Source organism: Homo sapiens, chromosome 14, assembly GCF_000001405.40.
Source record: "Homo sapiens chromosome 14, GRCh38.p14 Primary Assembly".
Classification (NCBI taxonomy): domain Eukaryota; kingdom Metazoa; phylum Chordata; class Mammalia; order Primates; family Hominidae; genus Homo; species Homo sapiens.
The window spans coordinates 43,006,681-43,030,186 of record NC_000014.9 but is presented as its reverse complement, the minus strand read 5'-3'; the positions used below and the strand labels follow the sequence as shown (position 1 = coordinate 43,030,186).

Here is a 23,506-nt window from a genome sequence, read left to right as displayed (position 1 = left end):
CCTCTTCAGCCTCCCTTAACTCCCTTCTCCCCCAACCCCTTTATTTTTCCTAATATATTGGAATGCCAGTTTTAAGGCTGTAGAATTTTTTAGTGTGTTCATACTAATGTATCTCCTCTGATGCTATATTTCAGCTTTTTAAATAGGCAAGAATCTCAAATTAAATGATCAAGCTTGAAATGATCTTACTCATGAATCTATAGACATACATATAAATTTGAATATAAACATGAATGTTTCTAAAATAAAGCAGTGAAACCCAGTTTTCAGCTTGCAGATTGGCTTTGGAAGAAGTAATAGTTTTAACATGTATATATTAAAATAGAAACAGTACATCTTCTTTTACCTTTGTTTGCAGCTGTTTAGAACAAGCATTTTGGTCTCAGGACTCCTTTACAATCTAGCTACAGGGAGTCACTTTGTTAAAAATTGTGAAATATAAAACAGGGTAATGTATAGTAAAATATAAAACATAGTAATTCATTTAGAAATAAAGTTAAAGCATCCATTATACATTAACACATTTAGCATGCTTTATCAGAAAAATAGCATTATTCTCCAAAACAAAATAAACAAACATAAACAGAAATGACAAAAAAATCCGTGATAAGAGTTACATTGTTTGGGATTTTTAAAAGTCTTTGATGCTTCCTATATCTGCTCCTAAATTTAATCTATTGGAAGACTAAATGTCTGGTACGTAGCATCTGGATAATTCCACTGTACATTTTGACAAATGCTATTTAGAGATTTTTGTATAATAATCTTGGACATTTCTTAGGAATATTATAATTTTTCTATCTGATAGTGAATGGGATGTTATTACTTCTACCACATTTTCTGGGAAGTTATGATTGGCTGCTGGAAAGTTTGTTGAGTGATCCGTTTTGTTATTATTTCTTCTGATATTTACTTTTGCTGTAAATTAGATGTTTCTTTTACTGATTAAACAATATAAAGTCTTTTGTCTTTACATTTGTGTATTATATTTAATGTAATTCCTGATACATTTACTCATATTCGTTTGTGCTTTACACTTACATTTATTTTTATCTCTATTATTGACTTCTTCCTGATTAATAATCTTGATTTCAGCATCTGCCTTTGTTAGCATTAATTAAGTATTCCTTCAAGTATTATGGTATCTCTAGAGATTATATTATTCTTGATATTATAAGCACAATTATAATGTCATGCTTTACTACTATCTCAATAAACAAATTTCCTCTTATTGTGATTCTAAATTAAGCTCTGCTTAGTTTATGGGCATTTTAGCCATCTTCTCATTTATCAATCCGTTTAAAATTGATATTTAAAAGTGAATATTTATTTATCTTACCCTCTCTTGCCTTTTGTGGTATTATTATCAGATATTTTTTACTCTCTATTTAAGCTCGACAGGTGATTATTTTTACTTTTATATGGTCAATGTTTATTTTTACTACACATATGCTTCCGCCTTCCCCTTTTTAGTTTTCTTTTTCTTATTGTCCTGAGCTGTCATTAAAGATCACTTTTCTCCTGCATGAGTAACATCATTTTTATGTCAGTTAGTGTAGTGAAAAATTCTAACAGAACTCTATCATGTGAAAATATCTTATAAATCTATTTGACAGTCTTGGAACAGTTACTATTTGTTACTAAGGTTTTCACAACAGATGCAAGAAAAAAATTATCCTTTCACTTTATGTCTGTGTGATTGTGGCAGCAAAGATTACCTGGGAAAATACAAAAGAAAACATGGAAATACAGTAGAAAATATTTGAGTAATGGATAGAAGAATGAATGAATGCTAAGAAAATCCAAAATTATTAAATAGAGGTAAAGATACTGTGCTTCCAGGGTAGTAATTAATCAAACTCCCAAAGACACAGAGTAATTAGAATAACATAATGACATGGAGGAAAAAATTAATCTGAATATGTTTAGTTTCTTTAATTTCATTTTTCTAAAAAAAGATTGAAAAAGGCAAGTAAAACAGATTAAAAAACCAAGAAACTTCTAAAAAATGAACAGGTACACATTTGAAGATATTTTAATATAGTTTTTATTTGATGTCTTCATGCTACCTCTGACTAAACAATGGGTTTTAACCCTGTTTTTGTAATTTTCTACATCTATTCATGACATATCTACTTTTTTCATTATTAAAGAAAAATAATCATATAAATAAGATATTCTTAAGAATATTTCCTCTTTATTATATATGGTAAAGTCTGCTGTATTAGAAGGCAACAGTTAGATCCATCCATTCCAATAATTTTAAAACAATGCTTTCTTTTCCTATAAAATTGTATTACTTGTACAGTACACATGCTTGATATATCTATTGTGATAGCACACCTGGGCAAAATGAGCTATGTCTTCAAATAATAAAAAGTCTCTTAATGTTTTTGCAATTTCTATTTTCTCAATACACTTACAAAAGCTTTTCACAAGAAGACAAAAATCTATGTGCTTTTTAGTACCCAATAAAAAAAAACACTTTATCCTCAGAAAACTGGAGTGTTTAGTGGGCATTTGGGGATTCAAAAATATTCTTAGACTTCCTGGAATAAATGAAAACATTTTATTTAATAGATTATTAATTCTTAGGCTATCATGAAAACTGGAGTCACTATCATAAAAAACTATTATGGCAAAAGATTTTTTTAGGCTATTCAAGAAATAAATGCTCAGGTACTGACATTTCAGAAATGCTTTTCTGAAAGTGAGTTAATTAAATTTTTTCCATCCATTGTTCTGAGAAATGACATCAATGCTCTTTGGTTATTTAGGATAATGGTAGTTACATGTTTGCATCAAGCTCCTTTTTGGACAAATAAAAAATCTAACTCCATAGGCCTTCAAACACAGCTGTTTCAGTAAATTTTCTAGATAGAACAACCTGGTCGCCTAAACATAGATTCGTGTCTGTGCTTGCACGTGTGTGTGTGTGTGTGTGAGAATAACATCAGCTTAAACAGAAACATGCTTAGAATCTTTCTTAAAGATTTTAATAAAAGTTAAAAACATACAAATGTGGCTTTATGTAACTTCAAACAATGTAAGGAATATTTAAAACAGGAAAAATATTGCCTGAGTCTGTTTCTGCAGCTATAACAAAATACCTTAGGCTGATTATTTTATAAATAACATAAATTTATTTATACAGTTTTGAAGACTGTGATGTCCAATATCAAGGCATAGGCAGATTCAGTATCTGGTGATCTAAATCTCTGTTCCATAAATGACACTGTTGCTGTGTCTTCACCTGTTGGAAAGGCAAAAAGGGAGAAACAGCAGCCTAGCAACTTTTTTTTATAAGGTCATTAACTCCATTCATGAGAGCAAAGCTTTCATGACTTATTCACTTTTTAAAGTCTTCATCTCTTAATATAATTATATTTGCAATTAAATTTCAACATATAAATTTTGAGAAAACACATTCAGACTGTAGCAAACATTAAGTGCTCTTTGATTTTAGCTTATATTGACTCTCCATATTTAAAAATCCCATAAAGCAAATAGACAAAATATAGTTATTAAAATTAATTTTACTAAAATATCATCCAGTACTTTATAAATGATGTAAATTTTTTATGACGATTGTATAGGACATTTGCATTGCTATAAAGAAATATTTGAGGCTGGGCAATTGGTAAATAAAATAGGTTTAGTTGACTCACGGTTTTGCAGGCTGTGCAAGCATGGCTCCAGCATCTGCTTCTGAGGAGGCTGCAGGAAGCCTACAATTATGATGGAAGGCAAAAGAGGAGCAAGTGTTTCACATGGCAAGAGAGGAAGCAAGAGTGGGAAGGGGGAGGTGCCACACGCTTTTAAACAGCCAGATCTTGCATTGACTCACTCATCACCAAGGGGACGGCACTATACCATTTATCAGGGGTCCTCCCCCATTATCTAGAAACCTCTCACTTGGCCTCACCTTCAACACTGGGAATTACAATTCAGAATGAGATATGGAAGAAACAAATATCCAATCTATATTAATGATGGTGACATATTGAAGACAATAACTTTTTATTAAAATATATATATTTTAATTTAAAATGACAATATAAGATCTATATAAAGATAGCTTCACCAGTGATGTTCTTATCCTTGTAGACTATTATAATTATCCCAGCCTCTCACTTTTCTTTAGGCAGAGCTGAAAGTAAAACTTGTTGCTGCTGCATATTTAGTCTCATTCTCAAATGATAATTTGCATTAGTGCATTACAAACAATATGAAATGTTTGGAAAAATACATCTCAAATTTAACACACATTGTAATAATATATACCAAGAAAGATTTTAAAACTCTCTTTCAGATGAAGAAGAAAGTGCAAAATATTCATTTGCATAATGAATATTCTGTGATATGTATCACATAAGCAGAAAAGGAGCTTTCTTTTGTTTATATATATACATTTTTGCATAAATGACAATAAGGTAGATATTTTGAAAATATATCCTTGAAAGGGCTCACTTTCAAAGTTAATATAATATAGAAAATTAATATAGAAATAATATTTCTATAAGAAATAATTATTTCTTATAGGAATATTAGAATATTCTGATATTCTAATTCTAATATGCAAAATATTCATTTGCATAATGAATATTCTGTGATATGTATCACATAGGCAGAAAAGGAGCTTTCTTTTGTTTATATATATACATTTTTGCATAAATGACAATAAGGTAGATATTTTGAAAATATATCCTTGAAAGGGCTCACTTTCAAAGTTAATATAGAAAATTAATATAGAAATAATATTTCTATAAGAAATAATTATTTCTTATAGAAATATTAGAATATTCTGATATTCTAATTCTAATATGCAAAATATTCATTTGCATAATGAATATTCTGTGATATGTATCACATAGGCAGAAAAGGAGCTTTCTTTTGTTTATATATATACATTTTTGCATAAATGACAATAAGGTAGATATTTTGAAAATATATCTTTGAAAGGGCTCACTTTCAAAGTTAATATAATATAGAAAATTAACATATAAATAATACTTTCTATTAGAAATAATTATTTTCTAATAGAAATAATTATTTTCAAATATAGAAAATTAACATAAATTTTCTATATTATTTTAACTGGAAGAAAGGATAAAACCTTGGTCTTTAAGAAAAACATAAGTAGTCATATATAAATTTAAAGTCTATACCATGTTTCTCTGAAAAGGCACATTTTTTGGTTTATACATATATTCATTTAAATACCTTATTTGTGACCTTGGGTTTGCTACTTTAAAAAGTAAGTGTTCCACGTGCTCCTCAAACTTTGTTAAACTCTTAATTTTAAATAATTGTGATGAACAATTGGCTTGTTGAAAGAACTAAATGAGAACCATTATGTGTGTATGCTAGAATAAATAACATTTTAAGCCTCCGTTTCCTAATATGTAAAACTAAGCTAATAGTAGGGCTTATATCCTGTGGTGGTTGTCATTGTTTATTTGTTTAATAAATGTTGTTGTATACATTTAAGGTCTACAGCATGATGCTATGGAATATATACAGACGGTAAAAGGGCTACTTACTATAGTGAAGTGAATTAACATTATCTATCATCTCACATGTTTACCAATTTTTGTTGTTTTTGGCAAGAACAGCTAAAATCTATGAATCCCAAATATGGTACAATTTTATTACCCATAGTCCTCACATCGTACATTAGATCTCTAGACTTGTTCAATTTACATACCTACTACTTTATACCCCGTGACATATATCTTCCGATTTCCTTCCCCTTTCCCACATCTGGAAACCAATATTTTGTTCTCTATCTTTTCTCTGTGTATTTGTTTGGTTGTTAATGAGTTAGGAACTCACAGGCCAGAAGACTAGAATTAGGCCATTCAGGGATCTTGCAGCAGTCCCACGGTCATATGGACACTGGTACCATGCATCCTTCTTTGATGTATTTAGAGCATACTTTTCATCATTAGAGTGCCTCTTAGTCACAAAGTAGTTGCTGTAGCTCCAGTAATCATGATTACCTTCTGAGCAGCAAGAAGCTAGAAGGGGTAATGGATAAATGACATGCCTCCTTTTCTTGTTTAGGAAATTTTCCAGAAACACTAACCAACAATTTAAGTTACCATCTTTATTTGCAAGACTGGATGGGAGGTACAGATTTTAACTGTACTCATTGCCACATATAATACAGGACTTCTTTTTGTGTGGAAAAAGAAGAGAATACAATGGGGAGACAAAATCAGCTTTGGCCACAAATTGCCTACCACAAGGGCTGATGCTTTTCCCAAATGACTTAATAATGTATGTGAAAAGATATGGTAAAGCAACAGATGATCATGTATATACTATCTACACTCCTTGCCTTCTCATACAAGGCTCTTTGAGAATGGGCCCCATTCTGCCTTTACCCAGCCCAGGTGTCTTCCCCCGGAAGCATCCTTGGAGCTCCAGGTTGGACTAAGTGCTCCTTTGCTGTACTTTTAAAGTGCTCTGCCAACATTCTATTCTCTCATTCTTCCTATTACCTTGAAATGACCAGTCTATTCCTTTACCTTTCTTTTGTGACCTATGCTGAGCAATGCCATAGCCACTGTTCACATATGGCAATGGAGCTGTTGAAATATGGCTACTCCAAACTCACACGTACTCTTCATTATAAAATAAAATGTACTAGATTGAACACATAGTAAAAATAAAAGATATGTAAAATTAATAATGATTTACACTGGTTTTATGTTTAAATGACAACATTTTGGATTTACCAAGTTAATTAAAATTCATTACTAAAGTTAAGTTCACCTGTTTCTTTTGGCTTGTTTCTCTATAAAAATTATTCATAATACTATTCATACATGTTTATGGGGTAGAGGTGATATTTTGTCACATATACATTGTTGTCAATTACAGTCACCCTGCTCTGCTATTAAACATTACAGATTATTCCTTCTATCTTACTGAATGTTTGTGCCAATTAACCAACCTCTCTTCACTCCGACACACACTCTTTCCTCTTCTCTGTATATTTGATTTTTTTAGATTCCACATATAATATTTGCAATATTTATTTTTCTGTGCCTGGCTGATTTTGCTTAACATAATGTCCTTCAGACTCATCCATGTTGTAACAAATGCAGGATCTCATTCTTTTTATTTAAGAGGTGGAGTATTACAATAAACATCAGTTACTATTATTAAATCCATTTATGCCTAGTGTTCCACTATTGGAACGCTAAGCATGTGAGAGTTATTTATATCTTACTGCTCAAGGTCATCACTACGGTCTGATTGCAAACATTCAAAACATTGCAACCTCAGGCATAAATTGGTGAATATATTTGAAAGTCTAGCACCATGCTTGGTATAATACATGCTTAATAGCTGTTAATTCCTTTTTCCTATCCAATAAAAATAAGAGTCACTAAATATATAGTAACTCCATGTAGTTTTGGTAATGTAATTTTAAAATATCTGGAATTAAGATTGTTTGCATCAATGGAATAATTTAGATATATCAAGTTCTGATGTAGAATTTTATAATTATCAAAGTACTAATGATAAAAACAATGATAAAAAAGCCAAAAATCAAGTAAAAAGAAAGCCAACGAGAATGAAAGAAGAATGGGGAAGGGGGAAGAGAGAGAGAAAGAGAAAGAAGAAAAAAGAAAGAGGAAAGGAAGGAAGGAGGGAGGGAAGGAAGGAAGGGAGGGAGGGGTGGAGGAAGGGAGGGAAGGAAGGAGAGAAGAAAGGGATGGAGGGAGGGAGGTAAAGAAGGAAGGAAGGAAGGAAAGAAGGGAGGGAGGGAGGAGGGAGGGAGGAGAAGAGGGAGGGAGGGAGGGAAGGAAGGAAGGAAGGATGAAAGGAAGAAAGGAAGGAAGGAAGGATGGAAGGAAGGAAGGAAGGAAGGGCCTTTACATTATCAGATTTTTTTTCTTCACACACAATCAGCATTTGAATTGTCAGAACCATGTAAAATGTGTTGTGAACTGCAGAAAACCACATGGGAGAGAAAGTTGTGTACTATGCTGAAGTCAAGCTAATTAGTGGATAAGACTTAGTAAAAGCTACAAATTAATCTGAGACACTACTAGCCCTCAAAGCATCAACATCAACTAGCCCTGCTTAAAATAATTCTAAATACTATGCTACAAAAATTGAAAACCTTAATGTTAAAAGTAAGCACTTTAACTATGTGTAATAAACTAAGAATAAGTCAAACAAATGTTTATACTGAGGCAAAAATAATTGATTATAAAATAACCACCGAATTTATTTGACACTGTATTGATATTAAATACAGTAACAAATAGAATGATTCATCTTCCCCTGCTTCTAGGATATGCGATAGAGTTTCAAAGATTACTGTATGATTTAATTCTGTGCTTTCAGTAATTCCTTTAACCCCAGGTCCTCTTTAAAGATCTCTTTAACATTTTTTAATGTGTTAAAAGACATAAATTACTGTTTTTATTTGTAACAGTTATGAAGCCAAAGTGTCAAGTCACTGAACCTAGAATTTTTGCCATCATTTAGTCTATATGCAATAAAGTGTGTGTGCATGTGTGTATATGTGTGTGCACGCATTTATTAAGAATGCGGATGGAAAATTGGGGAAGTGAGGGATATTGAAATATTTTAAATGTCTTCGTTATCTTTTCATTGATATAAATTATACCAAGAAAAATGGTTCTCTTTTTTGTGATTTTGAGAGGAATTGACATTCTAAAATTAAAATTGTTTGATGTAGTTGTGTGACCTCATTCAAGTTCTCACTATAATTTATTTCAATTTAAAATTCTGAAATTCTACAAGCTAAACAAAGAATAGAAGGATTTCAGAAATATGTTTTTGAAAACGATGAGATCAATACACATATATACATACACATATATGTATGTATTTATAGTTCAACAATAGAGTGACTTGTTTCATATCTAATATAATTTTATATGAGAGACACATATATTGCAATTTTTGGAGCACTACCTTGAAACATCACATAGAAAGCTTGTGTATGTGTCAATGTACTCATTTATTTCTAGTATATTTGTAATCTATACAAATTAGAACAACAGCAAAAAATATTTTTTTAATTCTTATAGCTTTAACAGACTGCCACAATTCCTAGTCTGAATTCAAATTATTCCATTGCTAAAATTTCAGTTGGAATAAAAAAGCTGTGGGTTTCTCTTAAATCCAGGTATTACTGATATTTACAAACTTTGAAAATAAAATCAGGAAATACAAACACATAATTACTATTTCAAGTGAACATCAAACTATAATAAACAAATCTGAAGCTATAAATTGATATTTACTTATTTATAAACTGTTTATGAAATGTATATATAATTACCCCAATACGTACATTAACATAAAATTTTGTGGAATCATAAATAACTAAAATTTGCCTTCTATTATTAATTAAATCAACATAAATCATTTTTATCAACATCAAAGAAGATAATATTTATTTGAAAATGCAGCAATTTTAACTATTGCCTTTTAAACTGCAACAGTTCAAGAACTACTTGACTGCATTAATTAATCTATATACACAACTTTTTGCTCCACCTGAAGTAATTTTGCACTGTTAGAAATGTTTGCTTATGTGATTAATTCACTTAATAAAATTTGACTGACAAAATTGTTTTTAAAAATCTTGGCTAAAAATCTGTAATTTTATATAGGAGGCAAATCATTTGTAAATTCTCTTGCACATTACAATATACTGATTAGTGAAAAAACTTTTTAAAACTTTAATTATAAATTTTCCTGTATTTCAATATACAATAATTTGATATACTGAGTTATACTTATAAAATTAAATTCTGCTCTAATGAGATTGTGGAGGCTTGGGAAGTCCAAAATTTAATGATGTTGTCCTACAAGCTGGAGACTCAATAGAGAGTTACATGTGGGTTCAAAAGCAGCCTGCTCTAGAACCAGGAAATGTTGATGTTGCAGACAAAGTCTGAAGACAGTCTCCTATAGAACCAGAAAAAAAAAACAAAGGATATTACAGATGGAATCTGAAGGCAGTCTGACAAAAAATTTCCTCCCTCTTGGGAGAGGCCAGCTTTTTATTCTATTCAAGCTTTCAACTGATTGGATTAAGTCTATCCATATTATGTAATCTGTTTTACTCAAAGTCTACTGATATAAATGATAATCTCATTAAATCAGTCTGCACAGAAGATTAAGTCCAATCACAGATTGACTTAATTCTATCCATATTATGCAATCTGTTTTACTCAAAGTCCACTGATATAAATGATAATCTCATTAAATAAATCCTCACAGAAGTATGCAGAATGTTTGACCAAATATTTGGGCATTGTGCTCCAGACAAGTTGACATATAAAATTAATCACTGAAATTTTACCACGTTGTCAGCATACACCCATACACATCTCCTTAAATCATACTTAGCAATCCTACTTCTCTTTGGTAATCAGAATCAATCACTTCAGACAGCACAGTAACTCCCTTCTTTGTTTATTCAGAAATTTACAAAGCTAAAAGTGGCCAAAATGAAGTCTTAACTTTCAGTTAAATTGAATTATTGTCTCCTGGTGGAAGCATTTCTCCCTTCGCGACTAAGATTTCTAGGCCATCAGAATTTAAGGTCATGGGAACAGGAAGCAAATATTTGCTAGAGGTCACAAAAGGTAATGATGAGTGGTGCCACTTCCATTTTCATCCTTTGATTCTTGGACTTCTGAATTCTGGCATCTGTTGAGATGATGGATTAAACCCTCAAATAGCACCAGTGATCTCTTTATCAAATTATTTTCCAGCCAATTTTTGCTATTGTCTCCAGCCCATGCTTTCTTGTTTTTTGCACTAAGGATAGACCGAGAGTTTTCCATATCTTCAAATTCTGGTAACTTTTTGCTTAATAATTGTTGCAATTTATCTCCCTCATCTCACATTTTACTGTAAGCAGTAAAGGGAAACCAGGGAAAATTTCTTATGTTTTTCATACTACATAAATTCAAATTGTTACACTATCCAACACATAGCCCTAGTAATTTGAATAAAGATTCTATAAATGATAAAATTTGAGGAATTGTCAATATTATAAGAAATGTGACAATTTTAAGAACATTGTCATGAAATCTTTAAAAACTGGAATAGCTTTAGAAACTAGTGATAATGCTTTCCATGATTCATGGTTAATTTAGAATAATCACACAACTTAGCGGTTATTAAATTGTTGGGTAAGGTAAATTTTTTACATATTATTAATGAATATGTTCATAAAAAGTGCCTTTGGTTATTGGAAAGCAAAATGATTTTCTATGCTAAAAATATTTTATTTTCTCTTCTTGAAGTAATATAAAAATTAACACAACATAAACCTCTTGTATCTTTCATAAGTGCCTGGTGATAAGATATGCTAATTTGTTCAACTGTGTGTATACTGAGTAAAACTAAATTATGGCCATAAGTAAATGTTACCCTTGAAACCATTTAGCATCATGAGCTGTGAGATATTCTATTGTAGTTACCAATAAATAATACTTTTAGACATTTTTGGGAAATCCAAAAACATAATTAGAGAATGAGAAAACAAAGCTGATGCTCCACTTTTCATAGTAGAATACTGCTACACGCTGTGATAGGAAAATAAATCTGGGGGCCCCCAAACCACTAAGCTAAAGGGAAAAGTCAAGCTGGGAACTGCTTAGGGCAAACTTGCCCCCCATTCTCTTCAGTCATCTCTCTGCTCACTAAGATGAATGCATATCTGGTTGCCTCCTTTGGAAAGGCTAATCAGAAACTCAAAAGAATACAACCATTTGTCTCTTATCCACCTATGACCCTGAAGCCCCCTCCCAACTTCCAATTGTCCTGCCTTTCCAGACAGAACCAACGTTCATCTTATATGTGTTGATAGATGTCTCATGTCTCCCTAAAATGTATAAAACCAAACTGTGCTCTTACCACCTTGGGCACATGTCATCAGGACCTCCTGAGGTTGTGTCATGGGCTTGCATCCTCAACCTTGGCAAAATAAACTTTCTAAATTAATGAGGCCTGTCTCAGATATTCGAGGATCACAATAAGAAAGTATATAGTGGAATTCAAAGCGCTCCCCTCTCCTGTGATTGGGAAGTGCTTAATATATTTGATAAATTGGTTGAACCAGATTAAGTAAAGATGTTTCTAAATTGGTAGAGGAGGGAATAAGTGAACAATAACAAATGCGATCTATTTTAACCTCTAGCTCAGACCAGTACTTTTTGTCTGACTTTATATTAAAAAAATGCATTGCTATGAGAAGAAATCAACACAAATTTAGTAGCTTAAAAATAATATAACTTATTATTTGGCAGTTCTGTATATCACAAGTCTGATACAAATCTCACTGGGCAAATGTCAGGTGTGAACAATGCTGCATTGCTTTCTGGAGACTCTAAGTAAACATCTGTTTCCCATTCACTAGAGTTACTGTCAGAATTTAGTTCCTGTGGTTGTAGAGCCAAGATTCCTGTTTCAATTCTCATTGTCAACTGAGAGCTATTATCAGCTTTTAGATGTTGCCCACATTCCTAGCCTCAAGGTCCCCTTTCTTCATCTTCGAAGCCATAAAAGATGAATCAAATCCTCTTCATATCATATCTCTCTCACTCCTCTACCTTCCTTTGTTCTTTGTTTTAAAATTTTATTATACTTTAAGTTTTAGGGTACGTGTGCACAATGTGCAGGTTTGTTACATATGTATACATGTGTCATGTTGGTGTGCTGCACCCATTAACTCGTCATTTAGCATTAGGTATATCTCCTAATGCTATCCCTCCCCCCTCCCCCCACCCCACAACAGTCCCTGAAGTGTGATGTTCCCCTTCCTGTGTCCATCTGTTCTCATTGTTCAATTCCCACCTATGAGTGAGAACATGCGGTGTTTGGTTTTTTGTCCTTGCAATAGTTTGCTGAGAATGATGGTTTCCAGCTTCATCCATGTCCCTACAAAGGACATGAACTAATCATTTTTATGGCTGCATAGTATTCCATGGTGTATATGTGCCACATTTTCTTAATCCAGACTATTGTTGTTGGACATTTAGGTTGGTTCCAAGCATTGTGGAAGTCAGTGTGGCGATTCCTCAGGCATCTAGAACTAGAAATACCATTTGACCCAGCCATCCCATTACTGGGTATATACCCAAAGGATTATAAATCACGCTGCTATAAAGACACATGCACACGTATGTTTATAGCGGCACTATTCACAATAGCAAAGACTTGGAACCTCCCTTTGTTCTTAAAAGTACATGTGATTAGATTGTGCTCATCCTCCAAATGCAGAATAATTTTCTTATTTTAAGATGAGCTAATTAGTAAACTTAATTCCATCTGCAACCTTAATTCCCTTTGGGCATGTAATTTTAACATATTCAAAAATTCTGCAAATTAAGAAATGGCATCTTTGCATGAACATTATTCTGCTTACCACAGAGTTCAAAAGAGGTAAGATTTTCACATTTTTGTAAAGAAACTATTTTATTAAAGCTATGGGCAATAACTGGGGACACAAATAATGCTGCTTCAGCATAGACATTAGAGCTCTTGTGATGAATGTGAGCAATGGAAACAAAAAACAGTTATCCTGAAATAGATTCTCAGCAGAGAACTTTGGGCACTGGGGTTAGAGAAAAGAAAGAAAAAACACTATTATAGCTATCATTATTATGTTTGTTCATGAAAAATTATTTGGAGATGCCCTAGAACTAAAGATAAATTATCCTGTTAGTACTCTATTACATACATCACTCTATAGTCTATAAGGCTGTCTAAAGCGGCTGGTAGTCCATTGTTATGTAATTTGGGAAAAGAGAGCATAAACATTGTGTTATTAGCCTATTAAAAGCTTCTTCATGAGTTTCCTGAGGTGGCCTGGAGAAATAACCTCAAAATTATTAATAAAACAATGCTAAATCTGCAAATTCTTGCTTTTAAATATGCAAGTTGATAATTACTGCTTCATAAAGACAAAGAATCTCACTATAACATCAACGAGAAACATAGCTAGAACATTAGCAAGAATGAGAGTTCTAAGCAATGTCATTTTAAATTGCGCACATCCCCAAAATGCAGATTAACAACTCAATAACACAGAGGACATATATAAGAAATAATCAATGGCTTCCTACCAAGTTATTCATACGAGTTTAGGTGTGAAAAAGGTGGACATGTGTGAAATACTGGTGCTTCCTCCTCTTCGACAAACAAGAACAAACATATGCAATTTAGGAACTTCAGACATTAGAATAAGTCTTGACAATAAACTATTTCTTGAACAAATTCAAAATCTCTGGTCATTGTCCCTGTCTGATCTTTAAATATGATTTCTCAAAATAGATTATTTATTTTTTCTGCCTATATGTATCTAATATTTTAACTATTAACTATTTATCATTAATTAATCTATATCTATAAAAATGTAAAATTTAATTTTCCTGCTATCATTGGATTCTATGTAGATTAAGTAGGCATGTTTTTAACACTTGCATAGTTATCCTTATTTTTCAGTAAAATTCTATAGAACCAGAATATCAACAATCTGGATAAAATGACAGTTCTATGTTTCATAAAATCTTCTGCTACAATTCATATATTTTTATCATATAGTTGTAGTAATGAAACATACTGTGTATCTAACAAAAACCTGACATTTGAAAGTTATGTATAGACACTTAGAAGCATCACTGTGAAGTGATATCAGCACAGTGAAAGAGGAAGGACCACTAAAAATTCTCTCCTCCATAAATCAATGATAATACTGGACAGAATTGTCAGAATCAGCTTTTTGTTCAGAAATCTGAAATTTACCAAAGGCTTGCAGCAATGCAGGGAGCATTTACTCATGAACAATGGCTGAATCTCAGTAAAAAACAGTAAGGCTTTCCCGGGCACGGTGGCTCACACCTATAATTCCATCACTTTGGGAGGCTGAGGCGGGCAGATCACCTGAGGTCAGGAGTTCGAGATCAGCCTGACCAACATGGTGAAACCCCATCTCTACTGAAAATACAAAAATTAGTCAGGGATGGTGGCGGGTGCCTGTAATCCCAGTTACTTTGTAGGCTGAGGCAGGAGAATCGCTGGAACCTGGGAGGCGGAGATTGCAGTGAGCCGAGATCATGCCATTGTACTCCAGCCTGGGCAACAAGAATGAAACTCCATAAAAATAAATAAATAAATAAATAAAACATCAAGATTTCCAGCAATTGAACCTACCCTATTCTTATCTCTATGAAGTTCCATGGTAACTTTGAAGACTGACAGCCCCACAGTCAAGGTAAAAACCACCAACCTGCTAGCCACCTGAGGCGGCAGATGGGGTTGAATGTATTTCAATGCCTCATTACTAGATAATTATCATTATTTGTACTTTCAAATCGTTTCCTTGAAGAATCTACTATGATTGATATATTTGACCTTACTCAGAGCTTATCCAGGATAAGAACCTCTTTCCATGAAGCATTGCCAATAACAATTGCAAGCAATGGTTAACTTTGTGGCTGCATGGGGCAATAGATAACAGAGCAAATAATACTAAAGAGCTTGAAAGGAAAAGACAGAGAATGAGATGGGCTTGGGAATACTCTGAAATATTCCTGAGAATGTAGAAGGCCATTTGTATTCATAGGACCATGTGCATACTGGGGTTGAGCACATGCTAAGGAAAGACTTAAGAAGGATCTAAGCTCGCATCTCTAAATCACAGAGGCTCTGATTAATCAAAAATTAAAGGCTAAGGTAGAGTTATCAAATACCTGATGAAATGGAGTCTTACCCCAATCCTCACACAGAGGCCCTCAGCAAAGCTTGAGAAATTTATTGGTTATAGGCATTTAAAAAAATGCCTGTGGAAATATTAGCTGACCACTAAGCTAACCAATCAGAGACCTCTGTGTCCATGAATGATGAAGAATACTGACATTACTGAATTATATTTTTAAAAGAAAACAACCAAAACAATAACAAATTTTGGGGAGGAAGAAGAGTGCAATTCTCAAAGTTATTACTTTATGTTATTTAAAATACAGTTTTTGACTAAAAAGTTAAAATATGCAAAGAAACAAGAAAGTATGGCTCATGGATGTGGGCACAGAAAGCAATTCACTGAAACTGTCTCTGAAGAAATACAGATGTCATAATTACTGAACACAGATTTTACATTAGCTTTTTATAATATGCTAAAATGATTAAAGAAAACATGTCCAAAGGATTAAAGGATGAGAATGGTGTTTCAACAAATAAAGGATATCAATAAAAAATAGAGGCAACCAACTCAAAATTCTAGAGTTAAAGAATATAACTATTGAAATAAAAAGTTTAATAAAGGTGATCAATAACATATTAATATTTGACCAGGTAAGAGGATTAATGGATTTATAGATAGGTTAACTAAAATGATATACTTTGGAGAATTAAAAAAAAAATGAATGAGAAAATTTGAGCAGAGCTTCAGAGATCTATGGAACACCATAAAGGACACTGACAACACATAATAAGTGTTCCAGAAAGAGAGGAGAGAAATATTTAAAAATAATGGCTGAAAACTTCTCAAATTTAATGAAAATATCATATATATTATAAAGTTTTATCATTATATGAAGGACTCATAAATCAATATTTGAAGGGCAATCTAATTTTTAAAAAAATGGGCAAATAACTTATATAAACTTCTCCAAAGAAAATATGCAAATAGCCTGTAAGCACATAGAAAGATTCTTGGCATCATTACTATCCATGAAATGCAAATCAAAACTACAATAAGATGCACTTCACTTCCACTGGAATGCCTGTAATTAAAAGACAGAATAACAAGTATTGGTGAGGATGCATAGAAATTGGAACACTCATAAACAGTTGGTGGAAATGTGAAATGCTACAGCCACTTTGGAAAAAAATTGACAGTTCCTCAATAAGTTAAACAGAATTAACACATGACCAAACAATTTCACTCCTAATTGTATATCCCAGAAAATTAAAAACATGTTCACAGAAGAACATGTGCATGACTTCATGGAAGTATTGTACATTATAGTTAAAAAATGTAAACAATCCAAATGTCCATCATCTGATGAAGAGGTAAGCAAAATGCAATACAAGCACTGACTGAAATAGTGTTCAGATTTGACAAAGATGGAGTGGTAATATATGCTGCATAATGACGTAACCCTAAAAATATTATGTTGCCTGAAATAAGCCAAATGCATAGGCCAACTATTATGTAATCCATTTATATGTAAAATCCAAAATAGGCATTTTCATAAAGAAAGACAGTACATTAGTGATTTCTATGGGAGACAGGAAGTAGAAGAGGGAGTGTCTACTAATGAGCATATACTTTTCTTTGGGTATGATGAAACTCTACAATTAGTGTTGATGTAGCCATAGTTGTACAACTTTGTGAATATGCTAAAACAAGCTGAATTGTATACTTTAAAAGAGTGAGTTTTATTGTACTTGAATTATACTTCAATTAAAAACATACCACATTATAGTCTTAGTTAAAATTAGTATAAAAAGCAATTGAGCAAATAAACTGAAGCTTAAATATGTAGTTAGGAAAATAAATTACAGTTCTTTACATATAATTAGACATTTAGGGCTAAGAGGTAGATGAACTTTATATTGTTTAAAAAATTTCTCCATGATGACTAAAATTATGACTCTCATTTAATTTTTGTTATGTAAAGCTCAACTGAAGCTCATAATAGGAGGGGGGATTCACATTAATCTATTTTACATAAATTATAGGCTTACAATTGTTGAAGGCAGTCTGTTAATGGCTTAGGTTAGTATTTGAGTGGCTAGTTAATTGAAGATGTCATACAGAGAAGAGATTTGGGGTTTTGGTAATAATACTCTTTCCATTTATATATCAATCTATGCAAAGATTTCTCAGTTAATAAACATTATGACTATAATCCTGCATACTTAGATATAAGTTCCATGTTTACAATTTATTTTCCAAGCTTACCTAGAATTTGGGAAAATAATATATATGTTATGACTACAACTTATAATATACAAAATGTGTTATTGAAGTAAAAATATTTCTAGAAGAGATATATTGTTAACTAAAGTCATTTGTGTGAATTAGTAACATGAAAACTTGTTTTATATATTACATTTACATAGAGGCATCTTATCAATAGAAATATAATATACTTTATATTTTTCACATATCTGACATATTCACAGAAATATTTTTATTTTCTGTCATATTGACAATTTATAATAGAAGTTGAAAACTAATTTTCAGGATATTGTGAATAAAATTCCTTTTTGAAGACATCTGTGACTTTATATTTTTGCATCCCATGAGGAAGCTGTTAATAAGCACTAATACTTACCTAGGGAGTTTCTATATTTAAAGATAAAAGTAATAGAAGTCTAACTAGTCAGCATGATATTTACTTCAAATCACTAGTATGAGTTTCAGAGAAATGATGGTTTCCAAGGAAACTACTAGAAAAGTATTGCAGGATGAATTATGTCCCCTTAACATTTATATGTTGAAACCCTGCCTTCCAAGACTGCGGATTGTTGTTACCATATTATGGAGCTATAACTTTAAAGTGGTGATAAGATTATAATGAGACTTTTAGAGTAGATCCTCATCCAATTTTACTAATATCCTTATAAGAACAAGAAACAGTGACACACAGAGAAACACCAGGTATTTTCAACCTTTCAGAAACACCAAATTTTCAATGCCCCCCATCCACCACTCTCCAAATTTATATATTGAGGCCCTAAAATCCAATGTGAGTGTGTTTGGAGATGAGACCATTCAAAGGTAAGTAGGATTAAAAGAGGTTATAAGGATGGAGTCCTGGTCCAACAGGATTAGTGCCCTTACAAGAAGAGACAGCAGGGAGATCTGTCATTCTCTCTTTCTCTCTGTGCAATGTGAGGACACAGAAGGAAGGCAACCATCTGAAAGCCACAAAGAACCCTCACCAGCAACTGAACTGATTGGCATCTTAACTTTGGATTTTCAAGTCTCCAGAACTATGAGAAAATAAACTTCTGTTCTTTAAGCAAATAAGTCTAGAGAATTGTATCATGGCAGCCAGAGCAGACTGATGTTAAAGATACACACATGCAGAGGAAAGACCATGTAAAGACACAGGAAAAGTCTGGCCCTCTTTCAGCAAGAGAGAGGTCTTGGAAGAAATCAAACCTGCTGGATCCTTGCTCTTGGACTTCAAGCTTTCAGAACTTTGAGAAAATAAAATTCTGCTGTTTAAACCACCCAGTATATTGTTGTGGTAGCCCTGGCAAACTAATGTAAATATTATATGTTATCTTATTATCACAATATTTAGTTCAAACACAAAGTAAAAAGTAATAATTTATGATATTTTAATAATAATAATATCAAATGAGAAATAAGAAATAACTGAGGAATCTCTTTCAAATAAATAACGTATTGGTTTTTATTTCATCATTAAGGCAAATACTGACTTTTTTAGAAAGACAAAGTAAATAATATATTGAAACAATCACATAAGAAGGAGAGAGATAAAACCTGAGACTAGCTTACTAACATGCCACTATTTTTGCAAAAATTATTCATCTCTTTCAATAAAATAGACATTTTAGAAAATCAACAGTTAATTCTTGGTGAGAAAACAATTTATTGTTTAAAAATTAGTCAAAATGGGTGTCATTTTAAGCTTGACTTAGAAAGTATATAACTTTTTTTCTATTTCATACCTACAAATGTTGATAAGAGAAAAAACAGTCACAGAACAATAATACAAATCTCACTTGTAAATTTTGTTTAGAACAGAAAGAAAATTTACCAAAGGAAACAAAAATATCTCTTTTATATGTCTATATCTATATATAGATATATTTCTATTAATGGGAAAAAAGTATAGTGTCAGTATCAATTAAAAAAGAAAACATTGTAGAAAACAATAGAGCTTAAAGAGAAAAATATGAGAAGCTACATATCTGGGAAATTAAAACTATGTTAACAGCAATATTTAAGTATAAAATATAAGGATTCAGTGTATAAAAATATATAAATTTGTATCTTCAAAATTTACCTTAAATTATATTTTTATGTACACAATAAGCAGTCTAGAATTTTAAATTATTAATCAAATGAGTTTATAAACATGTATTTCTGAAAATAAATTATCTACAGAAATACATTTCTGTATTAATTTTGTTTACAGAAATACGTGTTTAAATACAGAAACATGTATTTCTGTAAAATAAATTAATTTGCTGTCTGTAAAATAAATTAATTTTCCACAAAAAACATAAGCAAAAGGAAATTTTAGAAATTGTTATCTGAGAACCCTAATAAATGCAATAGATGAACACAGTAAGATGATTAAAAAACATCAGTCAATGCATAAGGTAATAAGTTAATTAAATAAAATTGCAACCTAAATTACATTTTCTATAAAAATCTAAACACTTGGTGTTTGTGTGTATGCTCTACCTCAAATATATTCTATCCATGCAGAAGCATTATTTTCTTCTTTAAGTGTTGAATATATTTAAACATTTAGAGACTACAATGCCCATCCTTGCAACACCTGAAAGTGTGGATTGTTTTAATTTGCATCTTTCTAAGGATTATTAAGTAATGTGACAATTTAGTAATTTTCAATGTAAAATAATTGATGGAGGCTTTATATCTGAGACAACAGAACAAATTGTAAACAATTGCTTTTACTTTATTCTTTTGATCACTCATAATTTACCAGGTGTGTAGCCTGGAACAACACAATCCATTGCATTTGTCTCCAGGTGACAGTGGGCAGGTAAATAAACCTTATTGTGTTGCAGCTTTTACACTCCTGTTGTTTGGCAAGTGGGAGAAAGTGTTACAGCTCTTTCACTCTTCTGCTGGAAAGCTCCAAATTATTGTCTCATGACCAAGATGAATAAGGAACAGACACCAGAGAGTAAGTAAGGCAGAGTTGAGTTTGTTAAGCAACAGAAAAGGTCTCAGCAAGAGAGGGGACTCAAAAGAGGGTTGCCAGATATGAGGCTAAGTCCAGGGTTTTACGGAATGGAAGGGGAGGAGAATGGTGAATTTTCTGCAGACTGTCTTGGAGAAAGCACCACTCAGAAGGAGGTATGATAGTGTAAAGAACCAACTGGAGGCAGAGGTGAAGGCTTGACCCAGTAACTTGGCTTGGGACCAATCAGGGGCTGAAGTGAAGGCTTGGCCTGGGAACTTGACCCAGGGCAAGTCAGGTGCTGAAGTAAAAGCTTGGCCCAGGACCTTGGCCTGGGATTAATCAGGGGCTGAAGTGATGATTCATCCTGTGTAAATGAACACTCAGCCCATGGCCAATCACAGAAAGATAGGTATATGTAAAATAGGTGAAAAGTGAGAAACTAAGGCACAACAAGGAGACAGAAATGTATCACAAAAGCAGTGGAATTTCTTCATCTGTGTTTACCAAAAGGAGGGGAATTTGTTCATCTGTGTTTACAGAGTAATCATTTCCATTCAAAGACATGAGCTCTTTCGTATCTGGGGCCTGCAGTTTGGTTTTCAGGCTGTTCTTTATTTGGAGAAGTTTTACAAAGGACCATGCTAACCGCCTGCCTCACTGGTTTCTTCCTTCCTACTCTCTCTTTCTCCCCTCAGGAACAGAGACCCTAACTGAAGTTAGGGAGGTGGGGTGATGATTCCTCTGGCTACTTCCTGCTGGAGAGGGATATTTTGTGGAGAACAACAGCTAGGGCTCCTCCTGGGGCTGGCCTAAGTGTCCTCAGAAGAAAGGCATGTCCACATGTAATTTCATTTGCATCATCATTTGGAGCTTGATAGCCTCTCTACGAGAAGAAATAATTTGGGTTATAGCATTGATTATAACAAGGGCCAAACATTAACATGATACATACAAGTAAAAGAAGTCCTACTAAAGGAGCTAACTGGATCCAAAAAGAACAAATCCTTTAAGAAGGGTTTGTAGCCAACTAGAATCAGAGCCCATATTTTCTCTCAATCTGTTAATGATCCTAATTTGGTCCTTAAGCACCTGTAAGTTTTCTTCTACCTGATTAGAAATGTTGATCCAGAAGCAGCATGTCTCATTTAAAAATTCACAGGCACCCCCTACACTGACCATAAGGACATCAAGAGTTCACTTATACTGCATTACTACAGTGGTTTGAGAACTTATGGATTTTTGTTGGGCTTCCATGGCTCCTACTGTTGCCTTTCACCCTCATTGCATCATAATAGAGATATTAAGTACTAATCTTTCAAGGAGAAAAATACTGGCAAACAAGTATAGCCCTCTATCTATAGAATTTTTCATCCATGGCTTTTCTAATACACGATTGTCAAGGGTATGTCTTTCTAGTTCTCTCTCTCAGTTAAATCTCCATATGATGACATAGAAATAAGTGATCTCCTGGTTCATTGTGTGTGAGAGATTGAACTCTCCAGAAAAAAGTCCAGATTGAGTATGTCACCAGATAGTGCTGCCATGTTTGTAGGGTTTAAAAATATTGAGTCAGGGAACACTGCCACAATAGTGCATGTTCCCCTTCAGTGCCTGGGGTAGATTAAGTGTATCCAGGAGCCACAGAGAAAATAAAGTTCCATTCCTTGAAGGGATGGTTCTAAGTTGTGATTTGTGAGAGTTCTAGCTAGTTTTTGTCCAGGCATTTTAAGGTCAGCCCCTTACATCTAATGGGAGTATTCTGGGGATAGAGATATCCATACTCAGTATAGTTATTCATAATGCTCTTTGGCATTTTACATTCTAGGTGGGAAGAATCTTTTGGCCGATGATGTTTCAAAAGATCAGAGACACAATATGTCCTGGCTGGTATCTTAGATAACCCTCCTTACAGGGACTATTGGTCCACACATGTCCTGTTTGCCTGCAGATTTGTAGGTCACTATCATTATCAAATATTATACAAGGCTTAAGGATTCCATGCGTGGGCACATATAGAAAGAACCATGAGTTATTTATTACCTGATGATAATGCTGGCAAGAGGTGGCATCCCTACCCAGGGATAGTCATTCCAACAAGGAATCCCGGCTGAGATGTTTGGTTAGATCATTAACATTTTTTCATAGTTCTTCTAATGTTTTGGGTTACATGTGTTCTTTCTTACTCTCCAGACCCCTGTGCTCTTAGCAATTATGAATGTGATGTTGTAATATTTGAGGTCTCCCAGATATGGTCCCTTCCCTCTGATTTTAAAACACAGGGGGTTATTCTGTTAACTTTACCCAGTGTAAGGGTGTGAGTCTTGAGTTTCTTTTATAAAGTCATAAAAAGGGCAAGCTATCTTACTGTACTTGGATATCCACAATATATAAAATCCTTTAATGAACAAGAATCCTCCTAGCTGTTTGAGGGTTTTGGGAAGTGGAAACAAGGAGATGAGCTTAATCCTCTGCTTGTCTAATTCTCTGGTCCCTTCTGATAGGGTTAGCCCTAGGTATTTTGTTGAAGTCTGAAAGAGCTGAGCCTTAGATTTTGAAACCTTAGATTCTTT

At 32.9% G+C, this 23,506-nt stretch overlaps 1 long non-coding RNA gene across 1 annotated transcript; it reads right to left on the bottom strand.

Annotated features, from left to right (window-relative positions):
- Nucleotides 1–3,120: 3,120 nt before the first annotated feature.
- Nucleotides 3,121–3,793, bottom strand: LOC124903306 (uncharacterized). The gene is made up of 2 exons (XR_007064135.1): nucleotides 3,669–3,793; nucleotides 3,121–3,253 (listed from the first exon to the last, which is right to left on the bottom strand). It is a non-coding gene; the product is annotated as an uncharacterized LOC124903306 (long non-coding RNA).
- Between the last annotated feature and the right edge of the window lie 19,713 nt (nucleotides 3,794–23,506).